Source organism: Homo sapiens, chromosome 5 (genome assembly GCF_000001405.40).
Source record: "Homo sapiens chromosome 5, GRCh38.p14 Primary Assembly".
NCBI classification, from domain to species: Eukaryota; Metazoa; Chordata; class Mammalia; order Primates; family Hominidae; genus Homo; species Homo sapiens.
The window spans coordinates 60,135,196-60,150,435 of NC_000005.10; the positions used below are offsets into that span (position 1 = coordinate 60,135,196).

General features: G+C 36.3%; 1 protein-coding gene across 15 annotated transcripts in view; it reads right to left on the bottom strand.

The window, feature by feature from the left end:
* PDE4D (phosphodiesterase 4D) overlaps positions 1-15,240 on the bottom strand; it is a 1,553,091-nt gene that overhangs the window by 1,166,158 nt on the left and 371,693 nt on the right. For 2 of the 15 annotated variants that reach the window (XM_024446110.2, XM_011543469.2), the window contains exon 3: positions 12,553-12,699. The exons of the other annotated variants lie outside the window; for them this stretch is intronic. In XM_024446110.2, coding sequence (XP_024301878.1) covers positions 12,553-12,699 — 147 coding nt within the window. The remainder of the gene's footprint in view (positions 1-12,552; positions 12,700-15,240) is intronic. 15 annotated transcript variants of the gene reach the window in all.

Genomic DNA, 15,240 nt, shown 5'->3' on the forward strand with positions numbered 1-15,240 from the left:
AACTATAAGGTGCCAACTATGAACCAGAAAGCACACCCTCACCAGACATCAAATCTTCTGGCACCTTGATCTTGGACTTCCCAGCCTCCATAACTTTGGGAGATAAATTTCTATTGTTCGTAAGCTACTGAGTGTATGCTATTTTGTTATAACAGCCAGAATGGATAAAGTCAGATCTAATTGCCAGATGTCTTTCTTTTCTTTCTGCCTCTACTTAACATCTCTAGTTGTGCATGCCTACAGGCATATCTCATGGAAGACTAACGTGCAAGATGAGCTATGAAAAAAAGTAGTCTATCGTTCAAAAATGGGGGAAGGGAAAAGGAAAAACCATCGAATACCAGAAGCAGTAACAGGAAGGGTAAAAAAAGAAGGTAGCTGGATGGAGAAGCAAAGTTAAAATGATTTTTATCAGACAGAGCAAATGCATTTGTAGAAAGAAGTTAGGAGCCACTGGAGAAGAAAATAATCAAAATAGAGAGAAGTGATGAAGAGAGGACCATAGTGCTGGAAGAAAGGTCAGGGGATGAAAGTAAAAAGTAAATAGCTATAGAGGAGTGCATATCCTTTCAGGACACTAAGGTGGGACATTTCTCTTCAGGCTTCCTTAATGGCCTCCTGTCTTGGACAGCTGCAATGCATATTGGTATATTAAAGACCATGAAAAGTACTGCTCAAAAGACACCTTTTGCTTAACAACTCATCCTTTCCAAGCTTCTTTGACAATAGACCTTCCCTTCTCATAATAATCATTAATGTTCTAAGAGCTACTGCTCTGAAGAACACACTCTGGGAAACTTGTAATTTTTCATTGTACAGGATATTCCATAGGTGGTCTGACAATTGTTTGAGCACAATGAACTACTGCTACCTTTCTTGTCTGAGCAATAATATTTCAATTAATGTTGATTTTCTTTCCCTCAAGAAAGATTCAATTTAGAAGATTTTTAGATAGACTTATCACATATTTGATACAGTACTTGCAATTAACTACCATTTTTATGAGAATGAGGTCTTTCTGTACTTGCGCTACTGCTTTTTAAAATTTTTTTCTTAAAGCCTAAATAAGAAATTAACCTTTCTTTCCTGTTAGATTGTGTCTTGTTATTTCTGGACTATCTTTTTTTTTTTTAATTTTTGAGATGAAGTCTTGCTCTGTTGTCCAGGCTGGAGTGCACTGGCATGATCTCAGCTCACTGCAACCTCTTCCTTCCAGGTACAAGTAATTTCTGCCTCAGCCTCCCAAGTAGCTGGGATTACAGGTGTCTGCCACCATGCCCAGCTAATTTTTGTATTTTTAGTGGAGTCAAGGTTCCACTATATTGGCCAGGCTAGTCTCGAACTCCTGACCTCAAGTGATCCACCCTCCTTGGCCTACCAAAGTGCTGGGTATCATGTTATTTTTAAACCATAGCATTGTCACACATTCCTTTTTTATTATATCTGCTCGATTCAGTCTGACAAAGACTACTATTAGGTATCCACCCAATATCCATTCTTTTCTTATTCCTTGCTAAACAAAAACACCTATGTTATTGGGGCTGGGAGTGTGCTCAGTTAATATAAATTTTTTTCAGATTAACTTGCATCTAGACAAGTTCTTTTCTTCTTACTTTACAACTTTAAGTTCATGGGTACATGTGCGGGATGTGCAGGTTTGTTACATAGGTAAATTGTGCCATGGTGGTTTGCTGCATAGATCATCCCATTACCCAGGTATTAAGCCCAGCATCCATTGGCTATTCTCTTGATCCTCTCCCTCCTCTCACCCTCCTACCCTCTGAAAGGCCCCAGTGTGTATTGTTTCCCCACTCCCAATGTGTCCATGCGTTCTGATCATCACTTATAAGTGAGAACATGTGGTATTTGGTTTTCTGTTCCTACATTAATTTGCTAAGGATAGTGGCCTCCAGCCCTATCTATGTTCCCACAAAAGACAGGATCTCATTCTTTATTTATGGCTGCATAATTCCATGGTGTATATGTACCACATTTTCTTTACCAAATCTGTCATTGATAGGCATTTAGATGTCTTTGCTATTGTGAACAGTGCTGCAATGAACATACACGTGCATGTGTCTTTATGACAGAATGATTTATATTCCTTTGGGTATATACCCAGTAATGGGACTTCTGGGTTAAATGATATTTCTGCCTCTAGGTCTTTAAGGAATTGCCACACTGTCTTCCACAATAGTTGAACTAATTTACACTTTCACCAACAGAGTAAAAGCATTCGTTTTTCTCCATAAGCAGCATCTGTTGTTTTTTGACTTCTTAATCACAGCCATTCTGACTGGTGTGAGATGGTATCTCATTGTGGTTTTGATTTGGGTTTCTCTAAAGATCAGTGATTTTTTTTTTCATATGTTTGTTGGCCACATGAATGTCTTCTTTTGAGAAGTGTCTGTTCATGTATTTTGCCCACTTTTTAATGGGGTTGTATTTTTCTTGTAAATTTATTTAAGTTCCTTATAAATGCTGTATATTAGACCTTTGTCAGCTGGATAGATTGCAACAATTTTCTGCCATTCTGTAGGCTGTTTACTCTGTTAATATTTTCTTTTCCTGTGCAGAAGCTCTTTAGTTTAATTAGATCCCATTTGTCAATTTTTGCTTTTTTTTGCAATTGCTTTTGTCATTTTTGTCATGAAATCTTTGCCTGTGCCTATGTCCTGAATGGTATTGCCCAGATTTTCTTCCAGGATTTTTAGAGTTTTGGTTTTTATATTGAATTCTTTAATCTACCTTGAGTTTATTTTTGTATATGGTGTAAGGAAGGGGTCCAGTTTCAGTTTTCTGCATATGGCTAGCCCGTTGTCCCAGCACCATTTATTGAATAGGGAATGATTTCCCCATTGCTTGTTTTTATCAGGTTTGTCAAAGAACAGATGGTTGTGGGTATGCAGTCTTGTTTCTGGGTTCTCTATTCTTTTTCTCTGGTCTATGTGTTTGTTCTTGTACCAGTAACATGCTGTTTTGGTTACTGTATTCCTGTAGCATGTAGTTTGAAGTTGGGTAGCATGATGCCTCTAGCTTTGTTCTTTTTGCTTAGCATTTCTTTTAACTTTAAATATTTTTCAGGAGTTGATCAGCATCACTCTGTTTTGATGCAACCCCTTGTTAAAATATTGGGCAGAACACAGCCAAAGGAAGAATGCTGTGGCATATCAATGCTTTGGAGTAGGTTTATTCAATCAATCTTCTATCTATATAATTTCACTGAACTATTTACCAAGATTTTCCACAACACTTAGATTGCTAGTAGCCCTGTAATTCCAAATATATTATTTCCATGGTTTTTATTTTTCCCTTTTTTTTGAATCTGGAAATGTCTTTCATTATTGTAAAGAATAATTTTCCTGCTGCTAACACTGAGGCAGACTGAAACATACATAGAAGTTTAAATCATTGCTTATGTTATTCTTTGAATTATATACGTTCTCACTGAACTTAAGTGTGTGTGTGTTCTCAAAGATGATATTTCTGAAGTGCCTACAAATGTGAACCAAACTTCACTAAACCATGCTATGTGACTTCTGTGGCCACTATTAAAAAGCCACAGTCATTAATATCAGTATAAATGGTAAATATATATACTGATATATAACTACTATAAATAATTGCCTCCAATTATTAGTCATAATTGCAATATTGGTATCTACATTCACATTGTTTATAATCAATGAAATAAAATTGCGTTCAGGATAGTGAAATTGTGTCATAAAGGGCTGTTTGGTTTTTTGGGGTTTTTTTGTTTTTAGCTGAAAGCAGGATTATATTTTAACTCAGTAATCCCATTTTTGGAAATTAGCAATCTCTCCATCCTGGTACAACTCTGCTCACTCCAGTACTCACAGTGAGATCTCGGAAGCTAGGATGGTTCTAAGATCCCTGAAGGTAGAATTTTAAAATTCCAAAATGATGAAGTTGCTGCTGTACACTGCTACAGTTGCTTCCTAATGTTTGGCTCCTTAAGTAGGAAATACAGTTCACCGCTAAGCCAAAGCGGTTCCTAAATAGACTAATTCATTCACAATAATGGAAGCTTAGGTTCATTACATGAAGGATTAGTTACAAAATGGCAATGCTACACTCATCAGGTTTTTCTCAAGATCTATAAAGAAAGCAATGAACAAATGATTAACTGTAACTTATAACTCTTTTAATGTGCATATTCCAAGTTCATAATAGGAGGCATTATATGTTAATCATATACAGTAGTTTCAATGAAAATCCCTTAAAACTATTCTCAAGGGATATAATGCAGTCAGGTAAGTTTAAACCTATAAAAGGACCACTGCCATTGACTTCTACAAAATTTGAGTGTCAAACTTACTGCTATCAAAGATATGTAATGCCACAGAATACAAAAGCCAACGAGAGAATAACTCAATATATAACCCAATAATAATGCATGTAAGCACGTGAGCAATAGAGGAAAAGGAAGGGAAAAATAGGCTACTCGTTGGAAACATATATAGTATCTAGGTTCAGATAGGTCTGTTTTTCTCAAACTATAAGATACTGAGTAGTCTAAGAAGAAAAATTACCAACAACATTGTTTCTTATAAAATATATTTAATATATTTAAACACACATCTATAATTGTTATTATGCAAGAATCCACATTGAAATAATTGCAAAACAAGTGATTGGGTGTATCATGAATGCATGAAGTAGAATTAAATGTCAAAGCTTCATATAAATATTAATTTTAATGTCAATGCTAAGTATCTATTAGTAGTATTTACCAACTAATTTTACTGGTATACACTGCCTCTTAATCATCACTGCTCCATGTTATGCAACTTGTCATCATTTCATCCATTTTTGTCTTTTTTATGTACTTAATAAAAATAAAATGACTTAATCTATTTAATTTGTATTATTGTTTTGGTCCTGTAATTAAGTTAGAATATGAATGAATTTTTTAATCATTTCTTGAAGCAATTAATTGTTGCAGACCATTTTTTTGTATTCTTTAATCAAAGTGCATATTATATCCATGAACTATCGTATATGTTCTACCAATATATAATTATTTAAAAAGTATTCCATGGTCAAATAAATTTGGGAAATGTGTATTTCAAAAAATTTTCTAGTAATTTCTATAATTACATGGTATATTTCAGAATGGTGATGGAATAATTGAATTATAGAATTTGCAAGCTAGGTGGAACTCGGGTATAGTCTCCTCACTTAAGGGTAAAAGTGAAGCCAGGAGAAATGAGATGACTAGGACTCAGTTTTCTGGTTTCTAATTCTGTGCTCTTCTACCTGGCTCTTTATATCCTGATATCACAAACATTTAAAAGAAAGAAAGAGAGAGAAAAGGAGGAAGGAATAAAAGGAGAAAAAAAAAAAAAGAAAGAAATTGTATCCACCAAGAATAAAAATGTTGCCCAGTAGTACTGTTGTGGAATTGAAAGATTAGATGAAATGTGTTTGCTACTCAGCCAAAGTATTTAACGCATCATGAAATTCCATAAATAATCAGTTATACAGAAGAGACATTAAGGACTATGAAATGTACCCTAGAGGTAAACTGTAGAACCTAACAAAGAATGGATAATGGGTCCTCAGCACAGATTAGTGACCCAGCTTAAGCAAAAGCAAATTAAGGCTGAATTTCGAGAATAGTTTAAAAATTAATTAACTCTCACACTTAGGAGATTGTTTGAATGTATAAAACTCACTCATGTGGGCTTAGGCCTTTATTAAACCTTTATTAAAAGGTTATAGGACTATTTTATAGACGCCAAAGCTAGGAAGGCAACTAAGCCCCTTGCGGGATTAGAACCCATCTAGAAAGCTACCAAGAATGAAGACAATTATAATTATCAGCTCTTTTTTCGTGGAGTTCATAGATTCTCATCGTGTGTCTCTTTGGATATCAGTTTCATACTCTTTTTTATAGGAAAATTGGCCCCCCTATTTCAAGCTCCAGTAAAGAGAGACTGGAATCAATGTGCCCCAAATCAAAATTCCTCAGAGACAACCTGTTCTTCCATCTTGGGGGTGGGTGACAGAAAGCAATGTAGTGGCAGGACCTTCTGCCCCTTCCACAGCAATTACGAAAGTAGGCTGTCTTGAATGACGTCATCAGGGGATTCTCTAAGAGTGTAACAGGATGCAGAGAGCAAGCTTTGGCAAAGACACCTGTGGCTTCTTTAAAACTGAGTATCTCTTGGAAAGAAGGAAACTTCCAGCAACAGAACAAGTAAGAAAACATGGAAAATATACTGAGGCAGAGAGTAGAAGGGAGAAATCCACACTTGGCTCTTGAAGGATTATAGACTTGTTCCAATCCTTAGGTTGCAGCCACAGCAAGCTTTGCTTTAGGACTCTTCGGTGAGCCCAGGGTAAGTACATATGGGCTAATAACAAGAGCTTGCTTACCCCCTTTACTCTCTGGACGTGCTTCACCTGATCCTGGTCACCCTTTTCAGAATTCCTGCTCAGCAACTTACTGCTAAGTCTACTTCTTGCCTTCCTGTGGACCTAGGACATTGATATTATCTGCAATAACTGCCATTTAAATAGACATAATCTTGGAGATAATCTAACCAATCCTGATAAGCTGAAACAATATATGTTTTCACATGGGAGAGGCCTTGGTTTGAATCCTTAACTGATGCTTAGAAGACATCTAACCAAAATAAATTTACTTAACCTGACTCTTGATTTCTCATCAAGATAATGATTTGCTCAATGAGTTTTTAACCTAAAAATATAGGATAATTTAAGTAATAATAATAACTCAAAACAACAACTAGATTTCTGGTCTATATCTCCTCTCCTAAACCCTGATCATCATTTGTACAGCAAGTCATGAATTTTGGGTCCTTTCACTTAAAACATGTACCTTTACATTGAGTACCTACACATGCAAAGCATTAGCCTAGAAACTGCATGGAAAACAAAAATTTACCAATCACAGGATCCTGCCCAAAAGGAAATTACAAAGTTATAATGGACAATACATAGAAGGAAGGATGGAAGGAAGGACGGATGGGAGGGAGAGAGGGAGGGAGGGAGGGAAGAAGGAAGGAAAGAAGGAAGGAAAGGAGAGAGAAGAAAGAAAGATTTGAAAATTGTCTACTGCGCACTATGCTTTGTACACACATAATCATACTCTTCACAAGCAGTCTTTTAGGTAGGTATTATTGTTCTCATTTTATGAATAAAAGAACAGAGGCTCAGAAAGATTAAGTGACTCTGGGGAAATATTTTTAAAATGGTTCAGATAATGTGCTGCGATGTGATTACAGTAGAAAAAACATTACTTTTAACTCTGTAGTTCAGGGCTTTGTGAAGCAGATGAAATCTGAGCCCTCTATACTGGGTGGGATTTAGGCATTGGCAGAAACACCAGCATGAGCCAGGGTTCTGACAGCAGAAAGAACATAGCCATGTCCAGGACTACCAAACAGTTAGATCATTTCATAGTATTATACACAAAGGGGAGAAGTCTTGGGAATAAGGTTGGGGCCAGATGACGGAGAACCTGAATGCCCAGCTAATGTTTTGTAAAATTACTGTGGGTAGCAGAGAACCACTGAAGATGAGTGAAAAACATGATGCCATCAGATCTTTGGCCAGAGGCAATGTCTGAGAAAAAATTTGCATGGGGAGCATATGACAATTACCAAGGCAGGAGGTAACAGGGAGTTTGATTTAGGATTGTGGCCACAAAAATGGACAAATGATGAAGGTGTGAAAGAAAATTTGCAGAGGTAGAATCAACAGATCTTGATAGTCTTTAAATATATTTTTAAATTTTAACTACTTTTATTTTGAATTATTATAGTTACATGACATTAGATTAGACAGTCAAGAGAAGAAAAAGTCAAAGATGTCCTGGATTTGGGCAATAAGACACCCTCACGGTAGCTGGGAGTGAATAAGGAACCAGACCCTTTTCTCTTCTACTCTATGGGCTTTCTGTTTAACAGGAAGCTAATTTTGTTACTTTTTATGTGAACAAATAATGAAGCATATTGTTTTCATAAACCTTTGTAAAATCTGCTGCATTCTCTGACATGTTTGCAAATAATGCCACATTCTCCAGACAGTTTATGTGCAACATGCTTCACATTACTAACAGAGAAACATCACTAAAATAATATTCTATAACAAAATTTTGAAGGTCATTCCTTAAAATATGATTTTTAAAATGGAAATACATTGTTGAGAAATGTTAATAATTTGAGACTTACACATTAGACACACATATATTTTTACTCACTACCAATCTGGATTTTATTATTCATCTTCAAGACATTTGGAACAGTGGCTGTCAACTCCAGCGGCACATTAGAATCACCTGCAGAGCTTTAAAGAACGCCATTGCCTGAGTCCTAACCTGAGTTCTGGTATAAATGACCTAGGAGCAGCTTGGGAATTGTGTGTGTGTGTGTGTGTGTGTGTGTGTGTGTGTGTGTGTGTGTGTATGTGTGTGTGTTTTGGGGAGGGGGCGGTTAAGCTCGCTAGATGATTTTAATGCGAAACCATGGTTGAGAAACACCCAGCAATAAGAAAATTTATTGATTATGTTAGAGATAATTCACTAGTTTATCTTACCATCAAAAAGACTATTTGCTACATTTATATAAATTAGACACATAAGATCCCAAACTAGTCTTGCCCTAATATTAAATATGATAAAAGTTATATCAAGAAGGAGAGCTTGGTGGGCTCAGTGGTCAGAATAGAGGGAATAAATGAACAACAAGATGTGAAGCAGGCTGACTTCTGAAACACTTTGCTTATTCTTTTCGCTTGATTCAGCAGCAACTTCTGGACTATTACAGCAGTGAAAGCTCTCCTTTGCTCCTCCCTAGTCACTCTGCAAACACTCATTTGCTGGCTGGCTGACCCTATCATGTACATCCCAAGTTCCTCCACTCATCCTCCCAGCGGCAGCGGTGACCTCCAGGTGCAAAGGCCAAGATAAGGCTTTTGGTCACATTGGAACTCATAGAAACTGGGAGGGGAGAGCTAGCTGTCTGGCTCTGTTTCTCCATGTTTGCAGGAATGCTGAATGATCTGCTCATTCCCAGATCTCTTCTCTTTCCTGTCATACAATGAGTAAGGTGCTGATTAGCTAGCTCCATGGCTTAAGGCACTGTCAACAGAAATCCCATATTAAATGTGCCTGTTGCCTAGGCAGAGTGAAGCATTTCTTTCTATTGCTCATCATCGATAAAGAGAAAACTGCTACGCTTTCTGTAGCAGGCAGGACTGTGAGGGAATTGGACAAGGTAGCAGCCATGGGGAATATTTAGAGTGCACAGCAGTAAGATGATCTCTAGCTTTTCTGCATTGCTCACTGCTATTCCATTAAAAAGATTTTTTTCCAGCCTGGCTCTGGTCTTCATTCATTTTATTACTTTTCCATGGAGTCCTCCTCAATGTTCCAAGTAGAATTCTATCTATTTCTCAAAGCTTAGTTAAAATACTGTTTTACTTATCTGACCATACCAACTTAAATAATCTTTCTCTCCTCTCTCAGCTTTGGAATTAGATATTTTTGCACTTGTCATTCTTCTTCACTATACTTAAGCATCCCAAGACAGAATTTTGCCTTTGTCCAATGTATATACAACATGGCACCAATTGCCATCCAGTGCACATAACAGGTATTCAACAAATCTGATAAATGAATTAACTAATATAGATCACTCTAAATCTCATCAAATAATTCATGAACAACTGGAATTATTTCAGTATTGAAATAACTAGTAAGTTTGGACATGAGAGAGGTGAAAGGCTCAAGAGCCTCCCCTGGAATGGATATCTAAAGAGGTATTTAATTATTTGACATAAATAATGGACTTGTATCTGAAACAAATATGAATATTCTCACCTAACTTTATCTTATGGGATTGCAGTTGTTTTTTTCCAACTCTTTAATAGTAGCATATGTTCTTTTCTGAAACACTATTTAAATAAGCTTGATTTATGCAAGTCCCAGAAGTCACTCCTTGTAATTGTACCACTGAAATCACTATAATTCTTGGTTTAAAGAAGTTAATATATTTTCTGCCAGAGTGACAAGAGGGTCATCACTTATCTCTGAGCCCTCCATGTGGCACACTCAAGAATGACTTCTCCATCTCCAAGGACTGACAAGCTGTATGTTTATTTATGAGACCTTAATCCAAACTATCCTTGTTTCCTGATTGCTGGGGGAGCTATGAGGAAGAGATTTTAATTACCAAAGTCCTCAACAGTTCTAAGTTACTTAAGAGTCATCTTAACATTGCTTTCATTGCAACCCATGGGGTTTTAGCCTATTTAAAATTGCTTTGCTTTTACTTCACAAACCTTGTTTGACCCAAATCAACCTTGTTTCAGTTGATAAGTTTCACAAAATTTGAAGAAGTATTTGGAAACTTTTTTCATTTCCACACATCCTTTGAGGTTTTCCTACCCTACAAAGTACCTAGCAGAGAGCCTTTCAGATATCCAGTACTCAGGATACTTGGAGAAATAACAAATGAATGAGGGAATGGTCTTTACATTTTGCCAGTAGAAGTAATTGAGATCTGAATTTGAGATATGTTGGTATTTAGTTTCAAAAATGGAAACATGATGGAATTTTTGGCTGAAAAACTTCCTTTGAAATCTATCTAAACATCTTATAAATAAGATATGCCCTTGCCTTTGTTCATAGGTATCTTGTGATACATATGTCCAAATCTTTCAACTAGGTTATAAATTACTGAGGAGTCTGGGTGTGGTGGCGCACGCCTGTAATCTCAGCACTTTGGGAAGCTGAGGCAGGCGGGTCACCTGAGCTCAGTAGTTCAAGCCCACCCTGTGCAACACGGTGAAACCCCGTCTCCACTAAAATACAAAAAATTAGCCAGGTGTGGTGGCGTGCGCCTATAGTCCCAGCTGCTCAGGAGGCTGAGACATGAGAATCGCTTGAGCCTGAGAGGCGGAGGTTGCAGTGAGCCAAGCTCGCGCCACTGCACTCCAGCCTGGGCAACAAAGTGAGACTCCATCTCAAAAACAAAACAAACAAACAAAAATTACAGAGGAATTATGTTTATTGCTCAGCACAGAACCTAGCACCTGGTAGTAGATGTTCTATAAATGTGCATGGTTGATCTATTTCTACATCGTGCAATATTTCACCTTCAGACTTGTGTCTCCACCATCATATAGTCTCCTTCCAGATAGAACCTGCTGGATTGGAATTTAGTGTCCAAGATCAGACCAAGCTATTTACGCAAACATAATATCAAGACCAGCTCATTGGAAAATTGCAAAACAGCAAAGAATGTCCTCATTGACCCTTTTCCTCACAATTTTCTTCTTCTCCATCAGGTAATCATTGATCCCTTCTTGCTTTCATAAAGGATCTGATCTACTCAATACAAAGGTGTATTAAGAAACAAAAGCAAATGTACATAAATGGGAATGCATCGAACTAAAAGCTTACATCTGCACCACAAGAAAATAACCAACAGTATGAAGAAACAGCCTATACAATAACAAAAAATATTTGCATCCGATATGAATATTCGCACCTGATATGAAGTTAATATTCAAAATACAGAACTCAATAGCAAGAAAATAAATAACTCATTTTTTAAAAAGGTAAAGGATCGGAATAGACATTTCTTAAAAGACATACAAATGGCCAACAGATATATGAAAAAGTGGTCAACATCACTAATCATAGGAAAATGCAAATCAAAACCACAATATCACCTCATACCTGTTGAATGGCTATTATGAAGAAGAAAAAAAGATAATAAATATTGGGGAGGATATGGAGAAGAGGGAACCCTTGTACCCTGTTGGTGGGAGTGTAAATTAATACAAGCACCATTCAAATGAGCCACCATTTTAGCAAGTCACTACTGCAGCAAAACTAACAGCTGTAAAGTCTATCGGAGGACTATGAGCAGCCCTATAGGAAAAAAAAGAAAGCTACACTGGTACTTCCCCATTGATCACAGGCAAAGCGTGAACTCTCTGTTGAATTGATTTTGCTTAGAAGAAATACAAGAAAGGTTTCCCAGAACACCTTTGAAAGTTGGTGCCTTATAAATGGAAACAAAGAAATCACTTAAAAGAAAACTTGTTTGTTTCAACAGACAGGTCGTTAGGCTGCTTCTTGCTGTGTAGATCACAATGGTGACCAAGTGCTGGCGGTGAATGGGCCACGCTGCATTCATTATTTACCAACAAGATTAAAGGAATAGTGACTATGACATTATTATTTCAAACTCTAATTTTCTAGGATTAACAGGGAAGGTCAGCATTAAAAACACTTTATTTTCTTACATTCACTTTTCTTTTAATCATGACCAGTCAAGATAATGTGAATGAGATATCTATTTCTGTGTAATGAATTATCCCCAAATGTAGCATCTTAAAGCAACAAATATCTCTTACCTCACACAGTTTCTAAGGATCAAGAATTCAGGAGAGCTTAGGGTCTCTCAAGAGATTGCAGTCAAGCCGCCAGCTGAGGCTGCTGCTACTGCAAGTCTCAACTGGAGCTAGAGAAGCACTTCTCGAGTCACTCACATGGTTGTTGACTTGTCTCAGTTCCTTGCTGACTGTTGGCTGGAGGCCTCCATATTTTACCATGTGGCCTTCTTCCATAGGCTGCTTGAGTGTCTTTGTGAGTTGACAGCTAGCTGCCTCCAGAGTGAGTGATTGGAGAAAGAGAAACTGTAACCAAGACAGAAGCCACAGTTTTTATAACCTAACCTCCAAAGTGGCACATCATAACTCCTCCTGAATTTTCTTGGCCACAGAGATCAACCCTGATACAATTTGAAAGGAGATGACCCAAAAATCTGAATACCAGAAAGTGCAGATCACTGGAGGCCATCTTGGAAGCTGGTTACCACAGAATATTTCTTTAGATGCCAATTCTCTATGATGTATCTAAAGAATCTGATGTTCCAAGGATAGTTTATTACCCCCACCAAGCAGTAGTTCCTAACTTTTTTGGGGGTGGGGCAGGGGAGTAACATAGGTTCCTTTTAAGTCTCTAATGAAAGCTCTGAATATACTTCCCAAGAGAATGTACAGTTGACCCTCTATATTAGTAGGTTCTTCATCCACAATTTAACCAACTGGGGATTAAAAATATTCCACAAAAGTAACAATACAACCACAAAAATAATAATAAAAATCATTGTTTATAACAACTATTTACATAGAATTTACATATTATTAGTTATTAGCAGTATTCTAGAGATAAAGTGTATGGAAGAATATAGGTTAAATATTAACACTATACCATTTTATGTAAGGAACTTAAGCATCCACTGGGTTTTGTATCTGCAGTCTTGGTATTTGGCTCTGGAATCAATCCCCTACAGATTCCAAGGGATGACTGTACAAATGAGTCATTATAATTTTGTACATAATTTCCAAGAGTCCAAGGAGTCCCTAAAGATTTTCTAATAACTTCAGGTTCAGAAACACTGTCGTTAATAGTTAACCTTCATCTTGCAATCCCTAAGCACAAGGACATAGCTGCCATTGGGAACTTATAGTAGGACATACATTTAGATAATGAAAGATAGACTTATTTAATGAAAAAGGCATAGTTGGCATTTTTATTTAACCAGAAATTCAAAGAGTTTTGAATAGAACATGGCCATTTTCTAAGCCAGACTTGCAAAAAATTCCTGTATGGGAAACTCAAATGCTTATTTATATGTTGCCGTCTTTGAAAGATAAAGAATTCCTGGGGTGCTGATTTTTTCAGGGCAAAGTAAAGGGAGATGGAGGAATTCTGCTATGGAGAACTCCTATGAACAAAAATGTAGTGTTTCACCATAAGTGTTTGATAATATATGAGAGATATCTATGTTTAAGAAACTGTGGTCAATAAAATTGAGCCTAATTTGATATTTTTGTAAGACCTCTTCCCATTCTTTCTTTTTCAGGTTTTCATTTTGAAATCCAGACGTTAAACCACTGTCTTAGTCCACTTTCTGTTGCTATAACAGAATACTATAGGTTGAGTAACTTACAAAGAAAAGAAGTTTATTTAGCTTATGGTTCTGGAGGCTGTGAAGGCCAAGAGCATGGTATCAGCACCTGACAAAGGCACGGCAGAAAGCATCATACGGTGAGAGCACATGAAATAGAGAGAGCTTGCTTTTATGCCAAAGCCACTCTTGCAATAGCTAACCCACTCTCATGATAACAGCATTAATCTATTCATGATGGAAGAACTCTTATGACCTAATTACCTCTTAAAAGTTCCACTCTATCAGCACTGCTACATTGGGGATTAAGTTTCTAATACAGGAATTTTGGGAGATACACTCAAACCATAGCAAACATAGACACTCTGCTCCAGCCTACTAGCTACTTTTACTGAGTTATTATCTTTCTTTTCCACTAAAGGTAATTTTTAACCAAGTTCCCCAAACATGACCTTCCTCTTCCAACTGGCCATTTAGAATTTCAGTAGATCCTATGTTCTGGTATCATTTAATGAAAGACTTTGGACACAGAGTGAAAGTTTATGATACTCTAGGACTATGTTCCCTTCCTATGCATTCTCATAGCATCCTATATGTGTGTACATATATGTATATATAATTATATATACTAGTACTATATATATACAGATATATAGTATATGTAGATATAGTACTACATATATGTGTATATATGTAGATATAATTATATAACAAGTACATATTATATATACTAGTATATAATTTATATATAATCCTATATATACATATGTTATATATAGTATATATACTAGTATATATAATATATACATATATGTAATACATATGTGTATATAATTATATATATTAGTGTATATATACATACATATAGTATATATAATTCTATATACTAGTATATATGACTAGTATATAGAATTATATATACTAGTACTAGGATAGTACTATACAAATTAGACAATTTGTACAAAATGGACTATATAATATTCTAAATTAGTAATTATTATTCCATAGTTCTATATGGAAGGAAATACAACCATGAATCTTACAGGGCTGAAGTAAAATAGTAAGAGATCATGGACTGAGTTGGGAAGACTGGCTTTGATAGTTCTTAGCTGGGCAAACTAGGCTCAGTCTCTGGTCTGTTACCTCATCAGTTACCCCATACAAAATGGCATAATACATTATATGACCACTTTATAGAATTTTGGGGGGTCCAATGGGACAATTAATGTGGAAAATATCTTGTAAACCATGAAATACTAGACTT